The following is a 25,913-nucleotide window of genomic DNA, read 5'->3' as shown; positions in this document are numbered from 1 at the left end:
AAATAAAGTCAACAAAGACACACTCATTTTATTTAAGTAATGTACATTTTATTTAAGTCATGTGATGGATTTTCACAGAATACATATGCCCAGGGAACCAGCACCAGATTACACAACAGAACTGGATCAGCTCCCAGAAGCTCTCCCCTCGTCCCCTCCCAACCCTAAGGGCGATCACTATCTTGACTTTGGTGCACTATAAATTAGTTTTGTCTGGTTCTGAACGTAATACACCTGGAACCATCTAGTATGTACTGTTGCATTTGGCTTCTGTCACTCAAGATTTCATCATGCGACTTGTCTATGTTGCTGTGTGTAGCCGGGCATGTCAATCCCGTTGCTGTGTCTATGTGCATGGTAGTGAGTAGGGCATCATTCATTTTCCATTCTGTTGATGGGTTATTTCCAGTTTGGGGCTGTTATGAAAGGGCTCTGAACATTCCCATGCACCCTCTTGATGCTCACACCTACACATTTCTGCTGGGTGTTGACAGCCTAGGAGTGGAACTGCTGGATCACAGAGGTGGCATATGTTCGGCTTCATTAGAAAACTGCCAGTTTTCCAAAATGTCTCTACCAATTTACACTCCCCCAGAAATACAAGAGAGGTCCAGTCGCTCTACTTTCTCGCCTCCACACGGTGCGGTCTTTTTCACTTTAGCCATTCTGGTGGTGGAGACCCACTCGTATTCGCAGCGCCTGGAGCGTAATTGGCACTCAGTTAACAAGACTGTTGAATGAATGGATGACTGAGTAAGTTGGGCGGTGTAGACCAACAGCCTGGCGAGGGCGGACACACGCACGCACTCCACACACAGCGTTTCGCGGACACCCACCGCGGCTCACGCAGCGCAGGACACAGACCCTGTCGCGCACCCCGCGCCCACGTGGTCTGAACACACGGCCTCGGCCCTGCCTCGCGCGTCCGGTCGCAACTCCCGCTCTCCGTCCCCAACTCGCGCGTCCGTCCCCAACTCCCGCTCTCGGCGGCGGGCAGGGGGCGCTGAGCGTCCAGGCGCTCCAAGGGGGCGGGCCCGGGTCGGGGCGGGGCCGGCCGGGCTTCCAGGCCTGGGCTCTGGCCGCCCGCGCCACCGGGCCGCTCCGGGGACAGGCCGGGGCGGGGCGCGGCGGCAGGAAACGGGGCGGGGACTTGCGGAGGCGTTGGGGACGAGAGAGGGCGCGGCCAACTCCAGGGGGGACGGCAGGCCGAGAGCGCGGCGCCCGGGCCTGGCGCGGAGCCTGAGCCCGCCGGACGGGAGGCGGCCCCGCCGCGGGCTCGGCCCCGGCCCCAGCCCCGCCAGCATGGCCGGCCGGACTGTACGGGCCGAGACCCGGAGCCGGGCCAAGGATGACATCAAGAAGGTGATGGCGACCATCGAGAAGGTCCGGAGATGGTGAGCGCTGCTCGGGGGCCAGGGACGGGACACAGCGGGACCACCAGCACCAAAGGCGTCTACGCTGCCCTCGCCAGCTCTGGGCCCCGGGTGTTCGGTGTATCTCCACCCACTAGCTTTGCCCTGGATCCACAGGGCTCTGTCCCCGTTCGCCTGGCTACTCCTGGGGGTCTACAAAGCGTGATCCCCAGCCGTGTCCTCCCAGAGCGGGAGCCCCCTCTTGTGCCCCGCCCCCTAAAGCTTTGACACCCCTCCTGCAGGTGCGCCCCAGGATCTGCAGGGCTCTGATCCCGGGCCAGGCCCATAGCCACGCCCCCCATGTGTGCCCCAGGGGTCCGCAGAGCCAGGGCCCCAAATCATATCCTCTCTCTAGAGGCACCCACCGCCTATGCCCTGGGGTTTGCAGGACTCTCTTCCTCCATGTAACTATGCCCCATTAGCAAAACTGTTGCTATCCTCCTGTGCCTCCTCAACCTCTGCAGGTACCCCCAGATGTGTCCAGCTCCTAGGGGGGTGGGTCTCCCCTCAGGCCTCTCTGACCCAGCCCCCCACCCTCCCACAGGGAGAAGCGATGGGTGACTGTGGGCGACACTTCCCTTCGTATCTTCAAGTGGGTGCCAGTGGTGGATCCCCAGGAGGAGGTGAGCAACCCCCATTCCCACAAGGCCCTGCATCTGTGCAACCTCAGGCAAGTTCCTCCCCACGCTGACCTCTACCTCCAGCTCCCCGAGACCTCAGATGCAGCAGGACAGACGGGAACCATCATTAGCAGCTCCTCCCCTTTTGCCCTCTTTTCTGCTCCACACCCCCTGAGTTTGAGCCCTTTTGCTTCTCAGTGCCTCAGTTTCCTTAGGTGTATGGTGGGGCTTTCCAAGAGCTCTGACCCTAATCCTCTAACCCCCAGGAGCGAAGGCGGGCAGGTGGCGGGGCAGAGAGATCCCGTGGCCGGGAACGTCGGGGCAGGGGCGCCAGTCCCCGAGGGGGTGGCCCTCTCATCCTGCTGGATCTTAATGGTAGGTAGGGATCCTGAAACGCGGGGGGCTGTGGGGACTGAAGGAGTGTACTAGGGATCTCAGGCCAACCATCTCGGCTCTTGCTCCCGCAGATGAGAACAGCAACCAGAGTTTCCATTCGGAAGGTTCCCTGCAAAAGGGCACAGAGCCCAGTCCTGGGGGCACCCCCCAGCCCAGCCGCCCTGTGTCACCTGCCGGACCCCCAGAAGGGGTCCCTGAGGAGGCTCAGCCCCCACGGCTGGGCCAAGAGAGAGGTAGGACCAGGTACCTCCCAGGAGCTCTCTCCTCTAAGTCCTGTCTTCTCCAGAGTCTAACCTACCAGCTCATCCCTATACCTGCTCCCCGTCTTGTGCACCCTCCTCAAGGCGCCTTCCGACTCCTGCAGAATCTCCCTGTAGCTACAGTCTCATTCCTCTGGTCTCTTAGAATCTATACAGACATATCACTGTCTGAGATTTTCATGTAAATTAATTTTTTACTAGTTTATCTTTCTCCTCACTCTCATGTCAGTTTCCTGAATGTTGGGCCCATATTGATCCTTTTTTTTTTTTTTTTTTTTTTTTTTTTTTGAGAAAGGGTCTCGCTCTGTCACCCAGGCTGGAGTAGTATAGTGGTGTGATCATAGCTCACTGCAGCCTTGAACTTCCTGGGCTCAAGCGATCCTCCCGCCTCAGCCTCCCAAGTAGCTGGGACCACAGGCATATGCCACCACACCTGGCTAATTTTTGTATTTTTTGTAGAGATAAGGTTTCACCATGTTGCCCAGGCTGGTCTCAAACTCACTTGCTCAAGCAGTCCTCCACCTTCAGCCTCCCAAAGTGCTGGGATTACGGGTGTGAGCCATCACACCCACACCCGGCCCTCCCCCCCCTTTTTTTTAGAGACAAGGTCTCTGTCACCCACGCTGGAGTACTCTGGTGCAATCATAGCTCACTGCAGCCTCAAACTCCTGGGCTCAAGGGATCCTCTGGCCCCAGCCTCCCAAATAGCTGGGACTCAGGTGTGTGCCACCATGCCCAGCCAATTCTTAAATTTTTTGTAGAGGTAGGGTCTCGCTATGTTGCCAAGGTTGGTTTTGAACTCGTGGCCTGAAATGATCCTCCTGTCTCAGCCTCCCAAGGTGCTGGGATTATAGGCGTGAGTCACTGTGCCTGGCCCTATGTGATCTTGTTCACTACTGTATCCTCAGAATAATATGGGACACATAGTAGGTGCTCAGTAAATATCTGTTGAGTGAATAAATAATAGTGATAGTCATAGGGGTGATTAACAATAATAGGAATAACAACAGCTAGTATTTATTGAGCTCTTACTGTGTGCTAGGTGCCCTGGTAAACACTTTACGTGGTTGGGTTTTTTTCTTTTCTCTTTTTCTTTTCTTTGAGAGAGTTTCGCTCTTGCCAAGGCTGGAGTGCGACGGCACAATCTTGGCTCACTGCAACCTTCACCTCCTGGGTTCAGGCAATTCTCCTGCCTCAGCCTCCTGGGTAGCTGGGAATATAGGCATGAACCACCATGCTCGGCTGGTTTTGTATTTTTAGTAGAGTTGGGGTTTCGCCATGTTGGCCAGGCTGGTCTCAAACGCCTGACCTCAGGTGATCTGCCCGCCTTGGCCTCCCAAAGTGCTGGGATTACGAGCCACCACGCCCAGCCTTTTTTTTTTTTTTTTTTGAGATGAAGTCTTGCTCTGTTGCCCAGGCTGGAGAGCAGTGGTACGATCTTGGCTCACTGCAAACTCTGCCTCCCAGGTTCAAGCGATTCTTCTGCCTCAGCCTCCCATGTAGCTGGGATTACAGGCATGCCACCATGCCCGGCTGATTTTTGTTTTTTTTGTTTATTTGTTTGTTTGTTTTTGAGACAGAGTTTCATTCTTGTTGCCCAGACTAGAGTGCAATGGCACAATCTCAGCTCACCGCAACCTCTGCCTCCCGGGTTCAAGCGATTCTCCCGCCTCAGCCTCTCGAGTAGCTGGGATTATAGGCATGCACCACCATGCCCCGCTAATTTTGTATTTTTAGTAGAGACGAGGTTTCTCCATGTTGGCCAGGCTGGTCTCGAACTCCCGACTTCAGGTGATCCGCCTGCCTCAGCCTCCCAAAGTGCTGGGATTACAGGCGTGAGCCACCGTGCCTGGCCTAATTTTTGTATTTTTAGTAAAGATGGAGTTTCACCATGTTGGCCTGGCTAGTCTCGTACCCCTGACCTCAGGTGATCCGCCCGCCTCGGCCTCCCAAAGTGCTAGGATTACAGGTGTGAGCCACCGTGCCCAGCCAACACTTTACGTGTTTTTTTCTCATTTAATTTTTACTACAACCTTATAAGGGTGATGATCTTGTTATGATCCCTATTTATAGATGAGGAAACTGAGACCCAGAGAAGTAACTCAGCCAGTGAGCCAGCATCTTGGGCCTGTGTCCTCATCAGCTCTGCTTTTTTTTTTTCCTTTGAGATGGAGTCTCACTCTGTCACCTAGGCTGGAGTGCAGTGGCACGATCTTGCTCACTGCAACCTCCGCCTCCCAAGTTCAAGCAATTCTCCTGCCTCAGCCTCCTGAGTAGCTGGGATTACAGGCTGCACAACACCACACCCGGCTAATTTTTGTATTTTTAGTAGAGACGGGGTTTCATCATGTTGGTCAGGATGGTCTTGAACTCCTGACCTCGTGATCCACCTGCCTCGGCCTCCCAAAGTGCTGGGATTACAGGCTTGAGCCACCGTGCCCAGCCAGCTCTGCTTTCTTCCATGCAGTCAAACCCGTCTGATTGGCACCTCTTCCTCCTAGGCTCCCTGTCCCTGGCCTTCCCATTTCTCACCCGTTTTTGGTTCCAGCTGGTCTCTTCTAGTCACCTCCACACAGCTGCCAGAACAACTTTTTCCTTCATTTTTTAAGCTTTGCTTTTTTTTTTTTTTTTTTGAGACAAGGTCTCACTCTGTCGCCCAGGCTGGAATGCAGAGGCGTGATCACGGCTCACTGCAGCCTTGGATTCCTGGGCTCAGTCAGCCTCCTGAGTAGCTGGGACTACAGGCATGCATCACCATGCTCAGCTAATTAGTGTTGTTATTCTTTATAGAGACAGGGTCTTACTATGTTGCCCAGGCTGGTTTCAAACTCCTAGGCTCAAGCGATCCTTCTGCCTCAGCCTCCCAGAATGTGAAACCCTGTCTCTACTAAAAATACAAAAAATCAGCGGGACGTGGTGGCACATGCCTGTAATCCAGCTATTAGGGAGGCTGAGGCAGGAGAATCACTTGAACCTGGGAGGCGGAGGTTGCAGTGAGCCGAGATCGCGCCACTGCACTCCAGCCTGGGGGACACAGCGAGACTCTGTCTCAAAAACTAAAACAAACAAACACACAAAAAGAAAACCCTGATGTGGGCCTGTGGACTGGGTCTGGGTCTAGACAGTGCCAAGCAGTTGTATACCTTTGCTAATATAAAAATGGTAGCAAGCATTTATTGAGCACTTACTGTGTGCCAGCCACTGTGCTTTACCTGCATCCGCTCATCTGACCCTCACAACAGCCACATGAGGTAATTACTATCATTATCCCCATTTTACAGATGGGGAAACTGAGGCCCATGGAAATGAAGTAGCTGGCCCAAGGTCAGGATTTGAACCCAGGCAGTCCAAGCCCAGAATCTGTGGCAACTTAGCATGCATTCCCTCTGTCTCACGTGTCATACTTTCCTGTCCACCGCATCACCCTCGAGCTCCCACATCAGTGTTCCCTCCTCTGCTTCCTGGGGCACAGCCAGGTTCCTGCTCTCTCCTCTCTGCTCCCATGGCCCTCTGCCCTCTGTGACTGGGGCCTGTGACCATCTGTTTCCCCCACTGTCTGTGCTGCTGGCACAGAGTGGCTGTTCAGGGGATGTTTGTTACCTTGACGTTCCAGATCCCGGGGGCATAACTGCTGGCAGCACCGACGAACCCCCAATGCTGACCAAGGAGGAGCCTGTTCCAGAACTGCTGGAAGCTGAGGTGAGAGAGGCCAGAAGGCTGGACTCCTGGGTCTTGGAGGGAATGGGGGATCTGGGCAGTCGAAGGCTTGGAGCCTGCGTCCTGAGGGCCTGGAGGAGAGGCAGACCTGGGACAGAGCTGAAGGCTTAGGGGCTGGGTTCTTGGGACTGAAAAAGAAAGGGTGTTTCAGAGACAAAGTGCTGAGGGCTGGATCAGGGCTGATTGAGACCATTAAAAGCCTGACAAAGCTGGGCGTGGTGGCTCACGCCTGTAATCCCAGCACTTTGGGAGGCGGAGGCGGGTGGATCATGAGGTCAGGAGATCGAGACCATCCTGGCTAACACGGTGAAACCCCGTCTCTACTAAAAATACAAAAATTAGCCGGGCGTGGTGGCACGTGCCTGTAGTCCCAGCTACTCGGGAGGCTAAGGCAGGAGAATTGCTTGAACCCGGGAGGCGGAGGCTGCAGTGAGCCAGGATCGCGCCACTGTACTCCAGCCTGGGTGACAGAGCGAGACTCCTTCTCAAAAATAAATAAATAAATAAAGCCTGACAAAATCATGGCGCTCCTCCATGCATTTTCAAAAAATATCAAAAAATATCTAACTGTATAATTAGCATAAGAAAATTCCTTATAAACCTCTGACATTTCTCACGAGGCTACCTCGAGGCATTTTCAGAAATATCAAATATCAGGTTCGTTCCTCCACACAGTGTCACTGTCGTTGTTGTTTTTGGTGCCTGCTTCCTCTGCATCCTGGGCATCTGGCCCTGGGCTTGCCTCCCGGGCCCAGGAGGGGAGGGGAGTGGAGGCTTTGGAGAAGGCAGAGGCTCAGAGGCTGGACGCCTGGGTTCTGTGGAGCTCACGCCTGTCCACCCTTCCTCTCCAGGCCCCCGAAGCTTACCCTGTCTTTGAGCCAGTGCCACCTGTCCCTGAGGCAGCCCAGGGTGACACAGAGGACTCGGAGGGTGCCCCCCCACTCAAGCGCATCTGCCCAAATGCCCCTGACCCCTGAGAAGCCGGCCTGCCTGTCCTGTTGCCCCAGGGGCCCCTTTGGCTTTTTACAAATAAAGACCCTTTTGTAATTTTGTGTCATGTCATTTCCCCGTCAGGGCTGGGGAGGGTCTTTGGAGACAGTTTTGTCTCATGCACCATTGCTCAGATGTGGTCACTGAGGCTCTGAGAGGACCTTCCTGTAGTGACACCACAAGGCAGAGTGGGGTGGGGGCTTGAGCCAGGACCCTGCCTCTCAGTACTTCCCAGGTCTGTCCTATCTCCCGACCTTCACCTCCTCCTCTGGGAGGCCCAGGACCCCTCTTCCTGCTCAGCCCTCGCCTGGGCCTAACAATTATCAAAACTCTGGGTAGCTAGGCCATGATTCTTTTTTTTTTTTTTTTTTTTTTGAGACACAGACTTGTTCTGTTGCCCAGGCAGGAGTGCAGTGGTGCGATCATGGCTCACTGCAGCCTTGACATCCCACCTCAGCCTCCCAAGTAGCCGGGACCACAGGTGTGTGCCACCATACTCAGCTAATTTTATTTATTTATTTATTTATTTATCACTATTTTTTTTTAGAGAGTTTTGCTCTTGTTGCCCAGGCTGGAGTGCAATGGCGCAATCTCGCCTCACTGCAAACTCTGCCTCCTGGGTTCAAGCAAGTCTCCTGCCTCAGCCTCCTGAGTAGCTGGGATTAGAGGTGCCTGCCACCACGCCCGGCTAATTTTTGTATTTTTAGTAGAGACTGGGTTTTGCCATGTTGGCCAGGCTGGTCTCAAACTCCTGACCACAAGTGATTTGCCCGCCTCGGCCTCCCAAAGTGCTGGGATTACAGGCATGAGCCACCATGCCCAGCCTGCTAATTTTATTTTTTGTAGACATGGGGTCTCGCTACATTGCCCAGGCTGGTCTTGAACTCCTGGGCTCAAGTGTTCCTCCTGCCTTGGCCTCCTAAAGTGTTGGGATTACAGGCGTGAGCCACCGCGCCCAGCCTATTCACGTTTCATACATAATAACACAGAGGCCCAGAGGGACTTGGGGGCCTGGGATGACCAACCCATTCCCTGCCCTGAAGAAGCCACTCCTCCACCTGGGATGCCTGGCCACACTTCTGGTTGGGTCTAACTTATCCCCATCTCAATCACCATCTCCTCCGAGAAGCCTTCCCTGACTCCAGGCTCAGTGAGTTTCCCCTTTTTTGAGCTCCAGCAACCCCTTGGGCTTCATTCTCCTTGTTTCATCATTTATCAGGCTGTTCTGGGATCCGTGGTTTGTGTGTCTGTCTTGTCTACGAGGCTGTGGGCTCCTGAGGGGTCTCCACACAACACTGGGAACAGGGCAGTCCCAGCAGCTGCTTCATGAATAAATGAATACATGAATGGGCTGGGGTTTTCCAGGCAGGCTTCTCTGAGGAGGTGGCATGTGAGCTGGGCTCTGAGACATGAACCTCTGTGCTAGAACTCAAGTCAGAAGCCCTGGTTCAAGTCCTGGCTCTGTTACTCCCTGAGTGGCTCTAGGCAGGCTGTTTCTACTCTCAGCCTTAGTTTGTTCATCTGAGCAATGGGAACAATAACTAGGCCTCATCTGCCCCAGGGGTTTGTGGGAAGCTTCGAGTAATATAAGGCCCTCTCACTCTGTGCCTATAGGGTCATGTATATTGGCCCTATTTTTATTTTTAATAAAGAAAGATACTGAGGTTCAGAGAGGACCAAATTGGAACTTTAAAGAAGCATTAAAAACTGTAGGCTAGGTGTGGTGGCTCACACCTGTAATCCCAGGCCTTTGAGAGGCACAGGTGGGAGGACTGCTTGAGGCCAGGAGTTTGAGACCAGCTTGAGCAACAAAGCAAGACAAAAATGAAAAAATTAGCCAGGCATACTGGTGCGCGCCTGTAGTCCAAGCTTCTTGGGAGGCTGAGGTGGGAAGATTGCTTGAGCCCGGGAAGTTGAGGCTGCAGTGAGTGATGATTGCACCACTGTGCTCAAATCTGGGCAACAAAGCAAGACCCTGTGTCTAAACAAACAAAGGAAATGTAAGGATGCTTCCGACAGCAGCTGCAGTGGTGTTGGTGGAGCCAGTGCTGTCCAGGGAAGCCAGGCTTGCTGCAATGTAGTGTAACTGTTTCTTATCACTGCTGTAACAAATTGCCACACATATAGGGGCTCAAAGCCACAGACATTAGCCAGGCACAGTGGCTCATGCCTATAATCCCAGCACCTTGGGAGGCCGAGGTGGGTGGATCACCTGAGGTCAGGAGTGTGAGACCAGCCTGACCAACAAGGTGAAACTCCGTCTCTACTAAAAATACAAAAGTTGGCTGGGCATAGTGGCGGGCGCCTGTAATCCCTGCTACTCGGGAAGCTGAGACAGGAGAACTGCTTGAATCCGGGAGGTTGCAGTAAGCCGAGATCGCACCACTATACTCCAGCCTGGGTGATGGAGCAAGACTCCATCTCAAAAAAAAAAAAAAGAAAAAGCCACAGACATTGATTCTCTTACAGTTCTGGAGAAGTCCAAAGTTAGTCTCACTGGGTTAAAGTCAAGGTCTCAGCAGTAGTTCCCTCCAGAGGAGGATCTCTTTCTTTGCCTTTTCCGGCTTCTAGAGGCTACCTGCAGTGTAGCATCTTCCAATCTCTCTCCATCGTCACATCTTCTCTAACTCTCCTGCCTCCTTCCTCCAAGGACCCTGTGATGACACTGGGCCCATTTGAATAATCTAGGACACTCTTCCTATCTCACAATCCTTAGTTTCATCACACCTGCAAAAGCCCATGTGCCATATAAAGCAACACATGCACAGATTCTGGGGATTCAGATGTGGACTTCTTTGGAGGGCCATCTTCATGGTAATGTCGGCTGTTTGCTGGGTGTGTGGCCACCTCATGACTCCCCTCAACCACTCCCGAGGGAGGAGAGTGTTCTGTAAATGGGAAAGTCCCTTGTGTGGGTTAGTGGTGCAGTGTTGAAGCTCAGAATTCAGGTTCCGGGTTTGAATCTCAGCATCTGCATTCATTTGTTGTATCACCTTGAGCAAGTGACTGAACCTTTCTGTGCATCTGTTTTCTCATCTATAAAATGGAGATAATAGGCCAGGCATGGTGGCTCACACCTGTAATCCCAGCACTTTGGGAGGCTGAGGTGGTTGGATTACTGAGGTCAGGAGTTCAAAACTGGCCTAACCAACATGGTGAAACCCTGTCTCTACTAAAAATAGAAAAATTACTTGGGCATGGTTGCGGGGCATCTGTAATCTCAGCTACTCAGGAGACTGAGGCAGGAGAATCTCTTGAACCCGGGAGGAGGAGGTTGCAGTGAGCTAAGATCACGCCATTGCACTCCAGCCTGGGCAAAAGAGGGAGACTCTGTCTCAAAAAAAAAAAAAAAAAAAAAACAAATGGAGATAGGAGATAATAGTGACATCAGCCTGATGAGAGTATTCTGAGAGTTAAATTAGGCCACACATGGAGAGACAGCCTTTGGCCTGGGACGTAGTAAGTGCTCAATAAATGGCAGGTTTTGTCCTATTGCCCCATGTTACAAATGAGGTTACCAGAGACTCTCCTGTCCCTGAGGCTGGGGACAGAAGCCTGGCCCCAGACAGGGTGTCCATTTCTGAGCAGCCTTGAGAAGCTAAAGTTTGAGTCTCCCCCATTCTTGACTCTCTCCTGGTCACGGGGCCTAGGAAACTGTCCTGATTCCCCCCAGGCATGCCCCCACCCTCTCATGCCCCATTCTTTGACCTGGCTTTTTTTTTTTTTTGAGACGGAGTTTCGCTCTGTCGCCCAGGCTGGAGTGCCGTGACGTGATCTTGGCTCACTGCAAGCTCCGCCTCCCAGGTTCACGCCATTCTCCTGCCTCAGTCTCCCAAGTAGCTGGGACTACAGACACCCACCACCTCGCCCGGCTAATTTTTTGTATTTTTAGTAGAGACAGGGTTTCACCGTGTTAACCAGGATGGTCTCGATCTCCTGATCTCGTGATCCGCCCGCCTTGGCCTCCCAAAGTGCTGGGATTACAGGCCTGAGCCACTGCGCCCGGCACTTTGACCTGGTTTAAAAGCCAGTTTGGGCCTGGCGTGGTGGCTCACACCTGTAATCCCAGCACTTTGGGAGGCCAAGGCAGGCGGATCACTTGAGGTCAGGAGTTCGAGACCAGCCTGGCTAACACGGTGAAACCCTGTCTCTACTAAAAATACAAAAATTAGCCAGCCATGGTGGTGCATGCCTGTAGTCCCAGCTACTCAGGAGGTTGAGACAGGAGAATCACTTGAACGTGGGAGGCGGAGGTTGCCTGGGCAACAGAGTGAGATTCCATCTCAAAAAAAAAAAAAAAAAAAAAAAAAAAAAAGCCAGTTTGGCTGGATATGGTGTCTCACACCTGGAATCCCAGCACTTTGGGAGGCTGAGGCGGGAGGCTGAGGCGGGAGGCTCGCTTGAGCCCAGGAGGTTGAGGCGGCAGTAAGATATGACTGTGCCACTGCACTCCAGCTTGCATGACAGAACGAGACCCTGTATCTTAAAAAAAACAGTGAACATGGTAAATTTAAAAAGCTATCTCTTCCAGAGCCACAGCCCTTATTTACCACCTTGCTGTCTCCCCTTTCCACCTCCTCCCCAAATTCCACACTCTATTTGTGGAAATCCTTCTACCCCTGGCTCTCGGGCCCCACCTCTGGGGCTCACTGACTCCTCCCCTCTGAGCCCTCATCTGTCCTTGGGCACTCCCCTCTTCCTGGTCTGGGAACTGTCTCTTGCCCTGGACTTGCTTCTCTTTGTGCACACTCTCCCTGCTGGGTCCCACCTGCCCTTTGAATCAACAGTTCCTCATTCTCTGACTCTAAGTTCCACCCCCACCTCCAGACTCCAGGAGCCAAATGGCTGCATCACATCTCCATTGGGATATCCCAGAGACCCCAGCCTCATCCTCCCCACAACCTATTCCTACCATCCCAGGAGCCAGCCAAGATGGTGACACCAGAAGTCAGAGTCACCTTCCAGGAACCACCACGTCCTGTTAGGTCTCTGTCTTAAGTAATTTTCCAGTTAGCCCCTTTCTTCAGGGCAACACTGCTTTACTAGGTGCCAGCAAAACTAACAGCCTCCTGGTGCCCACCTCCAATCCATGCTCCACCCAGTAGCTGGGCAATCTTTCAGAAACCCAAATCTGTCCATGCCACTGCCCCCAGTTAGAACCTTCCTGTCCTTACTACCTGCAGGATGGAGCCCACAGCCTGCTGCATACCCACACCTGCAGTCACTCTCTGAACTGCTCACAGCCCCCAGATGCCTGCTGCCATCTCTCACCCCTTGGGTTTTGCTCACACTGGCTGCTCCACCAGGAAAGCCCCTCCCTTCCCCTCTTCGCCTGGCAGATGCCAAAGCAGTTTTCAAGTCTCAGCTTCTGGGGTGTCTCTTCTGCCTTCCCTCAGCCCCTGACCCCTCCTCTGCTATGTCGTGAAGTGGTGGCTGTTGCTTTGTAGTGGTCCCTGTCTGCTTGGTTCTTCAGCACCAGCCTGCAAGCCCCAGGAGGGCAGAGGATTCCCTTTATTCATAGCAATAGGTACTTATTGTGTACTTACTGTTTGCTGGGCACTGTTCTAGGACCTGAGGATGCAGCTTAAAGAACACAGAATAAATGGCCGGGCGTGGTGGCTAGCACTTTGGGAGGCCGAGGCAGGCAAATCACCTGAGGTCAGGAGTTCAAAACCGGCCTGGCCAACATGGTGACACCCCATGTCTGCTAAAAATACAATAGAATTAGCCAGGCCTGGTAGTGGGTGCCTATAATCCCAGCTACTCGGGAGGCTGAGATGGGAGATTCACTTGAACCCTGGAGGCGGAGGTTGCAGTGAGCCGAGATCGCACCACTGCACTCCAGCCTGGGTGAGTGAGATTCTGTCTCAAAAAAAAAAAGAACACAGGAAAAAAAAAAATCCCTGCCCTCATGGCACCTGCCTTCAGGCAGTTATATCCTAAGCAGGAAGTTAGAGTGCGCTGGAAAAAGCAAGCACAGAACGGGAGATGGGGAGAGAGCAGGGTGTGATTTTAAGCGGGGGCGAGGCAGGGGCCTCACTGAGGCAAAGGCTGAAGAAAAGCTGGAAGGAGGTGAGGGAGAGAGCCTTGCAAGTTTCTGGGGAAGGGCATTCCAGGCAGAGGGAATGGCCAGGGCAAAGGAGAGCCAGTGTGACTGGAGCGGAGGGAGGGAGGGGCAGGGGAGTGAGTTCAGGTCAGCTGGGCCTCGCAGGCAGGGCAAGCACTTAAATTATCCTTCACACTGGGAGAATGAAAACAAGGGCAGTACTAATCACGCTGGGAAGGCAGGCAGAAGCTGGGCCAGCAGAACTTATGGTCGCCCTGCTCAGAGGCCACTGTCAAGACTTGGCTTTTCCTCTGGGTATCGTGGAGTGTTCTGAGCAGAAAAGCATAATCAGACTTAGGTTTTGTTCCTAATTTTTTGTTGTGTGTGTGTGTGTGTGTGTGTGTGTGTGTGTGACGGAGTCTCACTCTGTCACCCAGGCTGGAATGCAGAGGTGCAATCTCGGCTCACTGCAACCACTGCCCCCTGGGTTCAAGCGATTTTCCTGCCTCAGCCTCCCAAATAGCTGAGATTACAGGCACTCGCCACCACACACAGCTAATTTTGTATTTTTAGTAGAGACAGTGTTTCACTATGTTGGTCAGGCTGGTCTTGAACTCCTGACCTCAGGTGATCCACCCGCCTGGGCCTTGCAAAGTGCTGGGATTACAGGCATGAGCCACGGCACCCGGCCTGCAGGCACATTGTTAACTACAGCCCAGTATTCATTCACAGGTTTTTTCCCCCGTCTTTGATGTAAAATATCTATATAGTAAAATGCATAGGTGTTAATTGCTTGATTCAGTGAATTTTAACAAAAGCATAGTGCCAGGTGCGGTGGCTCACTGGGAGGCCAAGGCAGGAAGGTCATTTGAGTCCAGAAGTTTAAGACTATCCTGGGCAACATAGTGAGACCTCATCTCTACAAAAACTTAAAAAAAAATTAGCCGGGCATGATGGTGCACACCTTTAGTTCCAGCTACTTGGGAGGCTGAGGTGAGAGGATCACTTGAGTCCAGAAGTTCAACACTGCAGTGAGCTATGATTGTACCACTGCACTCTAGCCTGGGCAACAGAGCAAGACCCTGTCTAAAAAAAATAAAAATAAAAATAAAACCAGAACAAAACAAATGCATACATCTGCATAAGGAAACTGTTCTCAAATACAAAACATCACTATCACTTGCCAGAAAGTTCCCGTTGCCCCCTTCTCATCTCCAACTCCCCAGAGTCAACCGCTGTTCTGACTTTTTTTTTTTTTTTTTGTATTTTTAGTAGAGACGGGGTTTCACCATGTTAGCCAGGATGGTCTCAATCTCCCGACCTCGTGATCCGCTCACCTCAGCCTCCCAAAGTGCTGGGATTACAGGCATGAGCCACCGCGCCCAGCCTGTTCTGACTTTTTTAATAAGACAGGGCCTTGATCTGCTGTCCAGTGTGGAGTGCAGTGGCATGTTCACAGCTCACTAATTTTTTTTTGTATTTTTTGCAGAGACGGGGTCTCACCATATTGCCCAGGCTGGTCTTGAACTCCTGGGCTCAAGCGATCCACCTACCTCTGCCTCCCAAAGTGCTGGGATTACAGGTGTGAGCCATGCACACAGCCTTTTTGTTGTTGTTCAAACAACTTTAATGATGCCACAATGTCTGTCCTCCCCCAAGTAACTGGGTAAAGTGTTTTTTTTTGTTTGTTTGTTTTAGATCATAGCTCACTGCAGCCTTGAACTCCTGGGCCCAAGTGATCCACCTAAGCTTCCCGAGTAGCTGGGACCACAGGCATGTGCTACTGCGCCCAACTACTTAACATTTTTTTTTTTTTGAGACGGAATCACGCTCTGTCACCCAGGCTGGAGTGCAGTGGCGTGATCTTGGCTCACTGAAAGCTCTGCCTCCCGGGTTCACGCAATTCTCCTGCCTCAGCCTCCCAAGTAGCTGAGACTACAGGTGCCTGCCACCATGCCCAGCTAATTTTTTTGTATTTTTAGTAGAGATGGAGTTTCACCATTTTAGCCAGGATGGTCTCGATCTCCTGACCTCGTGATCCGCCCGCCTCAGCCTCCCAAAGTGCTGGGATTACAGATGTGAGCCACCGTGCCCAGTTTTTTTTTTTTTTTTTTTTGTAGAGAAGGGGAGTCTCTCTGTGTTGCCTAGGCTGGTCTGGAACTCCTGGCCTCAAGGGATCCTCCTGGCCTCACAAAGTGCTGGGATTACAGGCGTGAGCCACCACACCTGGCCTGATTGTTTTAAAGTAACGGATTGGGTGAACCTGTTCTGGAACTTCATGTAAATAGAATTAAGCAGTATGTAACTCTTTTGCATCTGTTTTCTTTTACTCAGGCTAATATTCTTGAGGGTCATCCGGATTATTGTGTGAATCAGTAGTTTGTTCCTTTTTACTGCTAAATTATATTCCATAGGCCAGGATCACTCTGCTGGGTGGAGAAGAGATGGGCCCTGCCAGGGCTCAGAGACTCAGGTGAATGCACCACAGGGAGATGGACAGCCTTTTCTTAGGAATTTCTAGAATGCGAAGTCTGTGGCATCAGTCTCCCCAAAAATCTGGGAAAACAGAACTACATCAGGAGAATCTAGCATGACCAAGCATCCCTGTTTGCCCAGGACTTTCTTGGTTTTAGCACTGCAGGTTCCATGTCCCAGGAGACACCCCAGTCTTGAGCAAACTGGGATGGCTGATCACCATCACCCTAGCAGGATCCTGCCACTGCCCTTGGGGCTTCCGGACCCTTTTCACACAAGATTACATTCTGTTCCTCCTACAGAATGATTTTCCTTAAACTCTAAACTGGGCTCCTCTCCTGTTCTAAAACTTCCCATGGCTCCCCATGGCTGAGCCTGGCAACTGAAAGCACGTAGTCTCTGGTAGTGTGCATACTGGAATCACCTGGGGAATCATTTAAATATTCTGATGGCTGCCTTCTACCCTTGACATTTTTTTTTTTTTTTTTGAGACGGAGTCTCGCTTTGTCACCCAGGCTGGAGTGCAGTGGCACGATCTCAGCTCACTGCAACCTCTGCCTCCCGGGTTCAAGTGATTCTTCTGCCTCAGCCTCCTGAGTAGCTGGGATTACAGGTGCGTGCCACCACGCCCAGCTAATTTTTGTATTTTTAGTAGAGACTGGGTTTCACCATGTTGGTCAGGCTGGTCTCAAGCTCCTGACCTCGTGATCCACCCACCTCGGCCTCCCAGAGTGCCAGGATTACAGGCGTGAGCCACCACGCCCAGCCACCCCAGACATTTTTGTTTTTTTTGAAATAGAGTCTCGCTCTGTCGCCCAGGCTGGAGTGCAGTGGCACGATCTCGGCTCATTGCAACCTCTGCCTCCTGGGTTCAAGTGATTCTCCTGCCTCAGCCTCCCGAGTAGCTGGGACTACAGGCGCGTGCCACCACACCCAGCTAATTTTTTTAAATTTTTTTATTTTTAGTAGAGACGGGGTTTCACCGTGTTAGCCAGGATGGTCTCAATCTCCTGACCTTGTGATCCGTCTCCCTCGGCCTCCCAAAGTGCTGGGATTACAGGCATGAGCCACCACACCCGGCCCCACCCCAGACATTTTACATTGGTATCATGTGCAACCTGGGCCCTGGGATTTTTTGTTTTGTTTTGTTTTTTTGAGTCTTGAGTTTAGCTCTATCGCCCAGGCTGCAGTGCAGTGGCATGATCTTGGGTCACTGCAACCTCCGCCTCCCAGGTTCAAGCCATTCTCGTGCCTCAGCCTCCCAAGTAGCTGGGATTACAGGTGCCTGCCACCACACCCGGCTAATTTTTGTATTTTTAGTAGAGATGGGGTTTCACCATGTTGTCCAGGCTGGTCTCGAACTCCTGACCTCAGGTGATCCACCCGCCTTGGCCTCCCAAAGTGCTGAGATTACAGGCATCAGCCACTGCGCCCGGCCAAGGGCCCTGGGATTTTTACAAGCTCCTCAGGTGATGCTAACATGCTGCAAAGCTTGGAGCTGTGAGCCTGTGAATGTGATTTGTTTGGCTTACATGGTGTTGAACATGTTGGCAACATTAAAATCAAGTGATTTCATATAAAAATCTGGACTAGGCTGGGCGCGGTGGCTCACGCCTGTAATCCCAGCACTTTGGGAGGCCGAGGCGGGTGGATCACGAGGTCAGGAGATCGAGACCATCCTGGCTAACACGGTGAAACCCCATCTCTACTAAAAATACAACAAATTAGCTGGGCGCGGTGGCGGGTGCCTGTAGTCCCAGCTACTCGGGAGGCTGAGGCAGGAGAATGGCCTGAACCCAGGAGGCGGAGCTTGCAGTGAGCCGAGATAGTGCCACTGCACTCGGGCCTGGTGAAAGAGCGAGACTCCGTCTCAAAAAAAAAAAAAAAATCTGGACTCAGGCCGGGTGACGTGCCTCACACTGTAACCCCAGCACTTTGGGAGGCTGAGGCAGGAGGACTGCTTGAGCCTAGGAGTTGAGGCTACAGTGAGCTATGTGTTGCTACCCTTCAACCTGCGCGACAGAGCAAGATCCTGTCTCTACCAAAAATAAAAAAAGAAATCTGGACTCCAGCTACCCTTGAAAGCAGATATTCTGAGATACTGAGTTTGCCTCCTGGAGTGGTCATGGGGCGGAGGTTGGTGGGGTAGGGGGGTAGGGGGTGCAGAACACTGACTGCCCTGGGGGCGGAGTCTCTGCCCTTCAGTCCCCGCAATCCCTACCGCTCCCTGGTGTTCCACTCTCCTCCTTGCTGTTCACTTGCATGGCCTCCAGGCTAATGGCTGAGTTTTGCGGCCAGGCATTTCAGGCCTCCCAGCCTTGGCCTCTGCTCACCTTCTCCACCTCCTCACTCCCTGCTCTAGTCATCTTCATCTCATGTCCTGCCCTCCAGCCACATGGGCTTCTTGGTCCCTTCCACACCTGTTTTTGCCCATGGAGTTCTCCCACCAAGTTCCTTATGGTAGAAAAGCCCCTGCTGGATTTGGCCCCTGCCCACCTCTCCTGCCCCTTTCCCCAAGCTTTCTTCCAACTCATGCATAGAACTTCTACCACAAGGAAGCTGGCCAGGCTGTTAGCACTCCCGTTCCCTCTGTCTGTGAAGCCCTTTCCTTCCCTCCACCCTCCCCTTCTCTCTCTTATCTCAGGCTTTGGGTTTGATTTCACCTCCTCCAAGGTTCCCTGACCTTCAAACTAGGTCAGGTCCCTGGTTAGTCACTATACTTCCTCTTTCTCACCTCCTTCATCTCACTTCCCCTGCTAGAATAAGGCCACATCTGTCTCATAATCTCTGTCTTCCTAGGGCCTAGTGTGGTGCCTGGCATACAGTAGGTGCTCATTAATGATAAATGAATGAAAGCAAGCACATCTCCCTTTCTCTACTGGCAAAATCCTAATCCTTTTCTGGTTACATTTCTCCTGTAGCATCCAATTCTGTTCTCGAGACCCAAAAGATCCCTGAGGTCCTGTGATCAATGGAGTTTTAGCTCAGGTCCATTTCACAGTGGGCCCAGGGGATCCCCAGATTCATCCGTGGTTATTTCCCCAGGCACAGAGTGAGTGCACTGGTGGCACAGGCATACCCAGCAAGTGGCATAATCCCCCCCATTAGTTAACTGGGTGTCGCTGTGCATGGCTGTGAAGGCAGGGATGCACCTGGCTGGTGACCCCAGAACCCCTCCGGGTACGGCACAAGGGCAGAGCCCAAGAACTTACTTTCTGTCCTCTTGCATTTGCCTGTGGATTTGCAGTTGGTAATGGCGTTCTTGCCCGGCCCTCCTTTGTTCCTCCAGGCAGCCAGGCAGCTGTGGCGTAGTGAAAGGGCAGGATGCGGGATAGGAATGGAGTTATTCCTGATTCAGACTGATTTGCTCTAACTGTGATTTGGGGCAAGTCCCTTCCCCTGTCTAGACCTTAGCTGGCTGCCGCATCTAAAAAATGGAGCCAATAATCTTTTCCTCGTCTTTGGGGTCATCCATCTTTCAACCACATCAGGAGCAGCGGGAACCAAGTGCAGAGGATGGCCTTAAAAGCAGTATGGGAACCAAATTTTTGTAAAGTAAATATTTTCAACCTTTATATTTTGGAATCACCAGCGGTATTTATTACGTGCACTCTAGGAAATGGAGGCAATGCAATGCCAAAAACAGAAAGTAAAACTGCTGTCCTGTGCCGCGGCCCGGTGGAGGTTTTAATGTCTGTATCTTAAGATCTGGTGAGGGCACGGGTAGGTGCGGCTGGACTGAGTGAAACCAGCCCCGCTGGGCGCCTGGGCCCTTGTCTCAGGGCTGTGCTCGCAGTGGAGGCATCTGCAGCTCGGCACCCAGAGGCCCCGCGACCCTTCCAACCTTTGTGACGCTCCGCGGAGACAAAGGCCGGCGGCGCAGCCTTGGGAAGGGTTAAGGCCACAGACGCAGCCCTGCGCGTGCTAGAGCGGCCGGTGGCGGACTTCCGGTTGGGGCGCGGGCGCGCGCCGCGTGTTCCCGACCCGCCGAGGCTGAGACCTCGGGCAACCTCAGCAGTGCGCAGGGCTGCACTGTCTCCGTCTGCGGCCTGCAGTAAGCGGGTAGGGGATATGTCGCGTGGCCTCGCCTGGTCTGCGGCGGGAAACTCGCATCTAGGCCAGACCCTCCCGCAGGGTCCGCACTCGCGATCTGGGCTGTGGGCAGCATCGTGGCCCCTCGGGGCGTTATAGGGGCGTGAGGATCCCGGGCGAGCTGGGGGCGGGCGGCTTCTTCAGCTCCCTTGCGCCATGGAACCCACTGTATGCCCGTTATGCAGTCAGGAAAGATGAGGCCGGGAAGGAGGGCGTTACGCTGCAACCCCGGAGACCAGCTGTCCCTCGCGTTGCCGCAGTCGGCAGAGGCGTGGCCGGAGCCATTCCCGGTCTCCAGTGCGGCTGCAAGAGCGGGCGCCCGAGGGCGTTCTGCTCCGGGCCTCCACCCGCGAGCTGACCGTGTCAGGCGCGCCACACACGGCGCTTCTCATTCTCTCTCCACCTCGCGAGGCAGAAGCTGCCGTTCCCGTGTCACAGACAGAAAAACAGTCTGGGGTGATTTATCCGGAGTCAAGACTCAGGTCTGTGGCTCAGTCGGGAAGGATAGAAACCCAAGCTTCCTCCGAATGGTTCAGAGACCCGACCAAGTTAAATAATAATGGCCCTGGCTCAGGGGTCTTTAAGTCTTCCCCCCGCCCTCCCCTTTTGTTTTTGTTTTGTTTTGAGACCGCCTCACTGTCCCCCAGGCTGGAGTGCAGCGGTGCGATCTCCGCTCACTGCAGCTTCGACCTCCCGAGGGCTCAGGTGATCCTCCCACCTCAACCTCAGGAGTGTCTGGGACTACAAACACGCGCCACCACGCCCGGCTAATTTTTCTGTTTTTTGTAGAGTCAGGATCTCGCTATGTTGTCCAGGCTGGTCTGGAACTCCTGGGCTCAAGCGATCCTCCTGCCTCGGCCTCTGAAAGTGCTGGGATTACAGGCATGAGCCACCGCACCTGGCTACCCTTTAATTAACTCAAGGAGTTTAATAATTGAATTTAGGCTGGGCTCAGTGGCTCACGCCTGTAATCCTAGCACTTTAAGAGGCCACGTCGGGCAGATCACTTGAGGTCAGGAGTTCAAGACCAGTCTGGCCAACATGGTGAAACCCTGTCTCTACTAAAAATACAAAAATTAGACGGATGTGGTGCCACACACCTGTAATCCCAGCTACTCGGGAGGCTGAGGCAGGAGAATCCCTTGAACCCGGGAGGCAGAGGTTGCAGTGAGCCAAGATCGCACCACTGCACTCTAGCCTGGGCCACAGAGCAAGAATCTGTCTCAAAAAAAAAAAAAAAGGTTTGACACCTATACCTTCCTCTGTGTGTGTGTGTGTGTGTGTATACATATATCTATATATATATGTATATAGAGAGAGGAGGAAAAATTATATAATTTTTCTATATGTGTGTGTGTGTATATATATCTGTACAATTTTTTTTTTTTTTGAGACAGTGTAGCTCTGTGGCCCAGGATGGAGTGCAGGGACTCGATCTCGGCTCACTGCAACCTCCGCCTCCCAGGTTCAAGCGATTCTCCTGCCTCAGCCTCCCGAGTAGCTGGGATTACAGGCTGCTGCTACCATGCCTGGGTAATTTTTGTATTTTTAGTAGAGACAGGGTTTTGCTATGTTGCCCAGGCTGGTCTGGAACTCCTGAGCTCAAAAGTGATCTGCCTGCCCCAGCCTCCCCAAATGCTGGGATTACAGGTCTGAGCCATCACACCCGGCCCATATATACGTATTTTAAAATAACACCTTTACTGAGAGAGATGACTCACACACCATACAACTCACCCATTTAAAGTGTACAGTTCAATGATTCTTAGTATCTTCACAGTTTTGCAAATATCACCACAGTCAATTTTAGAACATTTTCATTACCCCTAAAAGAAACCATACCCATTAACAGTAACTCCCAAGCCTTCCTCCCACTACAGCTCTAGACTACTGCAAATCTACTTTCTGTCTCTATAGAGTTGATTATTTTGGACATTTCATATTAGGGCTTTATGTGGCCTTTTTTGACTGAGATAACCTTTTTGTTGTTGTTTTTAACAAAATCAACTCCTTGAGCTCAGAGCCCTGGCCTATAATCATAGCCAGCTAGAACTGAACAGCATTGTTTTGGTTTTATTGTATCTATTTTTACCACTCTTGGGTACATGATAATTTCTCATTTATGGCAGTGGTTAAAGTTTCCTTTTGAATACACCTAGTTCCATCAAAACGTGAGTTGATAATTTTTAAAGAACAAGATTAAGTAAACAGAAGTAGAGGTGGTCCACAAATTTGTCAGAGGTTGGGAAGATGGGATGTGAATGAAGTTTGGCAAACACTGGATTGTCTGATTTACGGTTCTCCAGGTCATCATTTGAAAACCACCCTCACCTTATTCTTTCATTGCATTTTCCTGACAACTCCTGTAAAGAAGTGCATGATTTTACCGATGAAGAAACAGGTTCAGAGAAGTCAGGTACAATTACTTGTCCAGTGTCACACAGCTAGTGACAGAAGCTAGGCTTAACCAAGTCTGTCTGATTGCCAAAACTACCTACTTACCAAGTCTGGAAGTAGGATAGGGGGTGGGGAATGGACTAGCAGGCTTGAGAGGGGACTCTGGCCACTACCCAAAACATGCGGGCACCAGGCTGCCTGAGTTGTTTTGGGTACCTCTTCTAACAAATATTCAAATATTTCTATGAAACAATTTATGACTCTAAACAGAAATCCCATCTCATTTGCCACTGGGGCTTTCACCCTCTCTCAACGGCACACCGCAGTTCAGGAAGTGCTGCCTGCCTGGAGAATGAGGGTGTGTGTGAACGTGCGTGCTGGTGGTGAGGAGAGTCTGATCTCTAGTTCATCTTGGTTGCTACTGGCATCACTTTCCAAGCCCACAGGGGTCCCTTACACTCCATGACTTCTGCCCTATTCCACCTGTGGGCACCAGAGTCTCTAGGCTGGCTGGGATTACCTGCATATAGGGTCCCATGTTTCTGGAATGTCAGGCCGCCACCTGCTCTCAGGACTGACCACTTTCCTGGAGCACAGCCGCAGGGTATTCACCATGACTCCCTCTCTCCCCTTCCTGGCCAAGGACTTTCCCACCTCTTGCCATCATCTTCATCAGAACTCTGCCTCCTCCCTCAGACCCTATTCCTCATCTTATTCTTTCCCTGTGGGCTTTAACTGACCATTAAATTCAGAACCCATTCCAATAACACGAATATCCTTTTCCAGAGAGAGCTTAATTTTATACCTTAATTTTTGAAATTATAGCATATAGAAGATAAGCAAAACAACCAGGTCCTGCCATGCTCTTGTTCAACACCGATTTAACTCAGTCCACCTCTCTCACAGCTGTGCAATTCAACTTGACCCAAACTTGAGGCTAAGCACCTCCAGACAGGATGATTAGGGTCCATCTGGTCTCACTCAACTTAGGTGAGAATCTCAACCCTAAATCCAAGCAATTATCTGAGTAATTCTGGACCCTATAAAACAAAATAGTGGCCGGGTGCGATGGCTCACACCTGTAATCCCAGCACTTTGGGAGGCCAAGGTAGGCAGATCACCTGAGGTCAGGAGTTCAAGACCAGCCTGGCCAACATGGTGAAACCCTGTCTCTACTAAAAATGCAAAAATAAGCCAGGTGTGGTGGTGCCTGCCTGTAGTCCCAGCTACTCAGGAGGCTGAGGCAGGAGAATCACTGGAACCCGGGAGGTGAAGGTTGCAGTGAGCCAAGATCGTACCACTGCACTCCAGCCTGGGCGACAGAGTGAGACTCAGTCTCAAAAAAAAAAGCTAACATTGAGCTAGGTGAATATTCTCAGAGCACTACATGCATAATCTTACAAAATCATTTCAATAACTTAGTGAGGTAAGTACTCTTATTATTTCCACTTGACAGATGAGAAAAGCAAGGCACAGAGAAGTGAAGTCACTTGTCCCATAGTATATAATAGAGGCAGATCTGAATCCGTATCATCTGACTTCAGAGTGTGTACCCTCAAACACAGAGTTCAGATGAGGCTAACTCCAGCCATCGTTTACAGCAGCATTTCAGTGTTCCCTATACGCTGTCCCCCTCCTAAGTCAGTTTCTAGCTACTTGGGAAGCAGAGTTGGGGATTCCTCTTCCCAGAGATCCAGAGTCGGAGCACCCCAAGACCTGGATCTCCCACTCAGGACACCTTTCCCCCTGCCCAGTTCTGGCCCCTCTGGTGATGAGTTAACAACTGTTCCCCTGGCCTGCAACTGCCACCGAGTTACTATGTGTCAGCACTGGGCTGGGTACATTTACAATTTATCTGGTCCTCGCTACTTCCCAGGCGCTATTCTTCCAATATTACAGATAAGTCAACTGAATTCTAGGACAGTGAAGTGACTTGCCCAGGGGCACACAGCTAGTGAATGGAGCAACAAGGATTGGAACCCAGGTGCCCATCCCTGAGTCTACTGCTCTGGCCACTCCTTAGGGACATTCTGGAGTTGAGAGTCATGTAAGGGAGGGAGGTGATGCTTGGCTGTGGTACCCCAGCAAGTCTCTTACCCTCTCTGGCTCTACTTTATCTATAAAATCTCTTTCCCCAGTTTATTTATTTATTTATTTAATTTTATTTTATTTTTTGGTGGGGGGACAAGATCTTGCTCTGTCACTCAGGCTGGAGTACAGCTCACTGCAGCCTCCAACTCCTGGGCTCAAGCGATCCTCCTGCTTGATCTTCCTGAGTAGCTGGGATTACAGGCGTGAGCCACCGCACCCAGCCCACCCGGCTAATTTTTTATTTTTTTTGTAAAGACGGGGTCTCACTATGTTGGCCACACTGGTCTCAAACTCCTGGGCTCAAGTGATCCTCCCACCTTGGCCGAGAAGACAGGTGTGCTGGGATTACAGGTGTGAGCCTCTGCACCTGGCCTCTTTTCCCAATTTTTCTAATGAAAGCAAGCTTCCTTTTTTTTAGGAACTTCAGAATGAAACTTAAAAGACCACTATGAAAAGGGTGTTCTTATAAAAAAGAAGTCTCACTCCTTTGGCAGGCCAGGAGTCGTAAGGCCTGGTCTAAGGAACCATTTTCTGCCTAGGCTTCTAGAGCAGCAGCTGGGCTGAGGGGCTTGGAGTTTGGGGAAAAGGAGATGAGAATCCTTGAGCCTCCCTGGGGAACAGGAATGTGATGGTAACAATGGCTCCCATTTACTGCATCTTCCTAAGGTGGCAGGCCCTGGGCTAAGAGATTGAGATACAGGTGAGATATATAGATATATGAGATAGATGGATAGATGCATGTATTCATACACATGGATTCTAGGCTTTTAGCCGCTGCCCTACTCTATTTTTCTAGAATTTTAGAGAAGAGTTTTCTTAGATATCACCTCATTCTATCTTCTAATTTAAGGGCAAGGAATAATTTGTTTACTCATTCAACAATCATGGAGGTGCCATTCTATGCTAGGTCCATGCTGAACTCAGAAAAGACAGAAAAAGGCCAGGCACCATGGCTCATGCCTGTAACCCCAGCACTTTGGGAGGCCAGTGTGAGAGGATTGCTTGAGGCTAAGAGTTGGAGACCAGGTTGGGCACCATAGCGAGACCCCATCTCTACAAAAAATAAAAAAAATTAGTCGGGCATGATTGTCCTCACTTGTAGTCCCAGCTACACTGCAGGCGAAGGCAGGAGGATGCCTTGAGCCCAGGAGTTTCAAGGCTACAGTAGCTTTGATCGTGACACTGCACTCCAGCCTGGGCAACAGAGCGAGACCCCGTCTCTTTAAAAAAAAAAAAAAAAAGAAAGAGCCAGGCGTGGTGGCTCACACCTGTAATCCCAGCACTTTGGGAGGCAGAGGCAGGAGATCCACTAGAGCTTAGGAGTTCGAGGCCAGCAACATAGTGAGAACTCATCTCTACAAAAAGTAAAAAAAAATGAGCTGGGCACAGTGGCAGGCGCCTGTAGTCCCAGCTACTC

The 25,913-nt window shown here is 51.7% G+C and overlaps 1 protein-coding gene, 1 long non-coding RNA gene and 2 other non-coding genes across 13 annotated transcripts in view, besides 13 other annotated features; 2 read left to right on the top strand and 2 right to left on the bottom strand.

Moving 5' to 3' along the window:
• On the bottom strand, window positions 27–19,787 carry MIR762HG (MIR762 host gene). 3 transcript variants are annotated; one of them, NR_110940.1, is made up of 3 exons: window positions 19,129–19,787; window positions 6,289–6,533; window positions 27–699 (listed from the first exon to the last, which is right to left on the bottom strand). It is a non-coding gene; the product is annotated as an MIR762 host gene (long non-coding RNA). The 3 variants fall into 3 exon arrangements; NR_110942.1 differs by lacking the exon at window positions 6,289–6,533 and having other exon boundaries at window positions 19,129–19,217; window positions 19,761–19,787; NR_110941.1 differs by lacking the exon at window positions 6,289–6,533.
• Window positions 853–1,332: a silencer, noted in NCBI's record as "silent region_7399". NCBI's record gives its function as "represses an Ori minimal core promoter by ATAC-STARR-seq in GM12878 lymphoblastoid cells {active_cell/tissue: GM12878}" and the evidence as "EXISTENCE:reporter gene assay evidence [ECO:0000049][PMID:35858748]".
• The window catches only part of BCL7C (BAF chromatin remodeling complex subunit BCL7C), a 60,452-nt gene continuing 35,708 nt past the window's right edge, over window positions 1,170–25,913 (top strand). For 2 of the 8 annotated variants that reach the window (NM_001286526.2, XM_011545980.4), the window contains exons 1-5: window positions 1,170–1,394; window positions 1,957–2,035; window positions 2,299–2,407; window positions 2,500–2,661; window positions 6,302–6,387. In NM_001286526.2, the coding sequence (NP_001273455.1) occupies window positions 1,303–1,394; window positions 1,957–2,035; window positions 2,299–2,407; window positions 2,500–2,661; window positions 6,302–6,387 (528 nt within the window). In that variant the 5' untranslated portion in view covers window positions 1,170–1,302. Of the gene's footprint in view, window positions 1,395–1,956; window positions 2,036–2,298; window positions 2,408–2,499; window positions 2,672–6,301; window positions 6,388–7,256; window positions 7,453–14,930; window positions 15,024–25,913 lie in introns of those variants that run through there. The other 6 variants (XM_047434896.1, NM_004765.4, XM_047434899.1 and 3 more) reach the window with 6 other exon arrangements.
• MIR762 (microRNA 762) lies at window positions 1,262–1,344 on the bottom strand. The gene has a single exon (NR_031576.1). It is a non-coding gene; the product is annotated as a microRNA 762 (primary transcript).
• Window positions 1,581–2,213: an enhancer, noted in NCBI's record as "H3K27ac-H3K4me1 hESC enhancer chr16:30904355-30904987 (GRCh37/hg19 assembly coordinates)". NCBI's record gives its function as "activates a minimal SCP1, AML or CMV promoter by ChIP-STARR-seq in primed H9 embryonic stem cells {active_cell/tissue: H9 hESC(primed)}" and the evidence as "EXISTENCE:reporter gene assay evidence [ECO:0000049][PMID:30033119]".
• Window positions 1,713–2,042: an enhancer, noted in NCBI's record as "active region_10735". NCBI's record gives its function as "activates an Ori minimal core promoter by ATAC-STARR-seq in GM12878 lymphoblastoid cells {active_cell/tissue: GM12878}" and the evidence as "EXISTENCE:reporter gene assay evidence [ECO:0000049][PMID:35858748]".
• Window positions 7,290–7,791: an enhancer, noted in NCBI's record as "H3K27ac hESC enhancer chr16:30898777-30899278 (GRCh37/hg19 assembly coordinates)". NCBI's record gives its function as "activates a minimal SCP1, AML or CMV promoter by ChIP-STARR-seq in naive H9 embryonic stem cells {active_cell/tissue: H9 hESC(naive)}" and the evidence as "EXISTENCE:reporter gene assay evidence [ECO:0000049][PMID:30033119]".
• Window positions 10,223–10,302: a silencer, noted in NCBI's record as "silent region_7398". NCBI's record gives its function as "represses an Ori minimal core promoter by ATAC-STARR-seq in GM12878 lymphoblastoid cells {active_cell/tissue: GM12878}" and the evidence as "EXISTENCE:reporter gene assay evidence [ECO:0000049][PMID:35858748]".
• Window positions 12,107–12,607: an enhancer, noted in NCBI's record as "H3K27ac hESC enhancer chr16:30893961-30894461 (GRCh37/hg19 assembly coordinates)". NCBI's record gives its function as "activates a minimal SCP1, AML or CMV promoter by ChIP-STARR-seq in primed H9 embryonic stem cells {active_cell/tissue: H9 hESC(primed)}" and the evidence as "EXISTENCE:reporter gene assay evidence [ECO:0000049][PMID:30033119]".
• Window positions 18,994–19,748: an enhancer, noted in NCBI's record as "H3K27ac-H3K4me1 hESC enhancer chr16:30886820-30887574 (GRCh37/hg19 assembly coordinates)". NCBI's record gives its function as "activates a minimal SCP1, AML or CMV promoter by ChIP-STARR-seq in naive H9 embryonic stem cells {active_cell/tissue: H9 hESC(naive)}" and the evidence as "EXISTENCE:reporter gene assay evidence [ECO:0000049][PMID:30033119]".
• Window positions 19,015–19,074: a silencer, noted in NCBI's record as "silent region_7397". NCBI's record gives its function as "represses an Ori minimal core promoter by ATAC-STARR-seq in GM12878 lymphoblastoid cells {active_cell/tissue: GM12878}" and the evidence as "EXISTENCE:reporter gene assay evidence [ECO:0000049][PMID:35858748]".
• Window positions 19,395–19,444: an enhancer, noted in NCBI's record as "active region_10734". NCBI's record gives its function as "activates an Ori minimal core promoter by ATAC-STARR-seq in GM12878 lymphoblastoid cells {active_cell/tissue: GM12878}" and the evidence as "EXISTENCE:reporter gene assay evidence [ECO:0000049][PMID:35858748]".
• Window positions 19,475–19,684: an enhancer, noted in NCBI's record as "active region_10733". NCBI's record gives its function as "activates an Ori minimal core promoter by ATAC-STARR-seq in GM12878 lymphoblastoid cells {active_cell/tissue: GM12878}" and the evidence as "EXISTENCE:reporter gene assay evidence [ECO:0000049][PMID:35858748]".
• Window positions 19,749–20,503: an enhancer, noted in NCBI's record as "H3K27ac-H3K4me1 hESC enhancer chr16:30886065-30886819 (GRCh37/hg19 assembly coordinates)". NCBI's record gives its function as "activates a minimal SCP1, AML or CMV promoter by ChIP-STARR-seq in naive H9 embryonic stem cells {active_cell/tissue: H9 hESC(naive)}" and the evidence as "EXISTENCE:reporter gene assay evidence [ECO:0000049][PMID:30033119]".
• On the top strand, window positions 19,924–19,981 carry MIR4519 (microRNA 4519). Its single transcript, NR_039744.1, has one exon. It is a non-coding gene; the product is annotated as a microRNA 4519 (primary transcript).
• Window positions 19,955–20,214: an enhancer, noted in NCBI's record as "active region_10732". NCBI's record gives its function as "activates an Ori minimal core promoter by ATAC-STARR-seq in GM12878 lymphoblastoid cells {active_cell/tissue: GM12878}" and the evidence as "EXISTENCE:reporter gene assay evidence [ECO:0000049][PMID:35858748]".
• Window positions 20,504–21,259: an enhancer, noted in NCBI's record as "H3K27ac-H3K4me1 hESC enhancer chr16:30885309-30886064 (GRCh37/hg19 assembly coordinates)". NCBI's record gives its function as "activates a minimal SCP1, AML or CMV promoter by ChIP-STARR-seq in naive H9 embryonic stem cells {active_cell/tissue: H9 hESC(naive)}" and the evidence as "EXISTENCE:reporter gene assay evidence [ECO:0000049][PMID:30033119]".

The sequence above is a fragment of the Homo sapiens genome, chromosome 16 (assembly GCF_000001405.40).
Source record: "Homo sapiens chromosome 16, GRCh38.p14 Primary Assembly".
NCBI lineage: Eukaryota > Metazoa > Chordata > Mammalia > Primates > Hominidae > Homo > Homo sapiens.
This window is presented reverse-complemented; position numbering and strand designations above follow the sequence as displayed.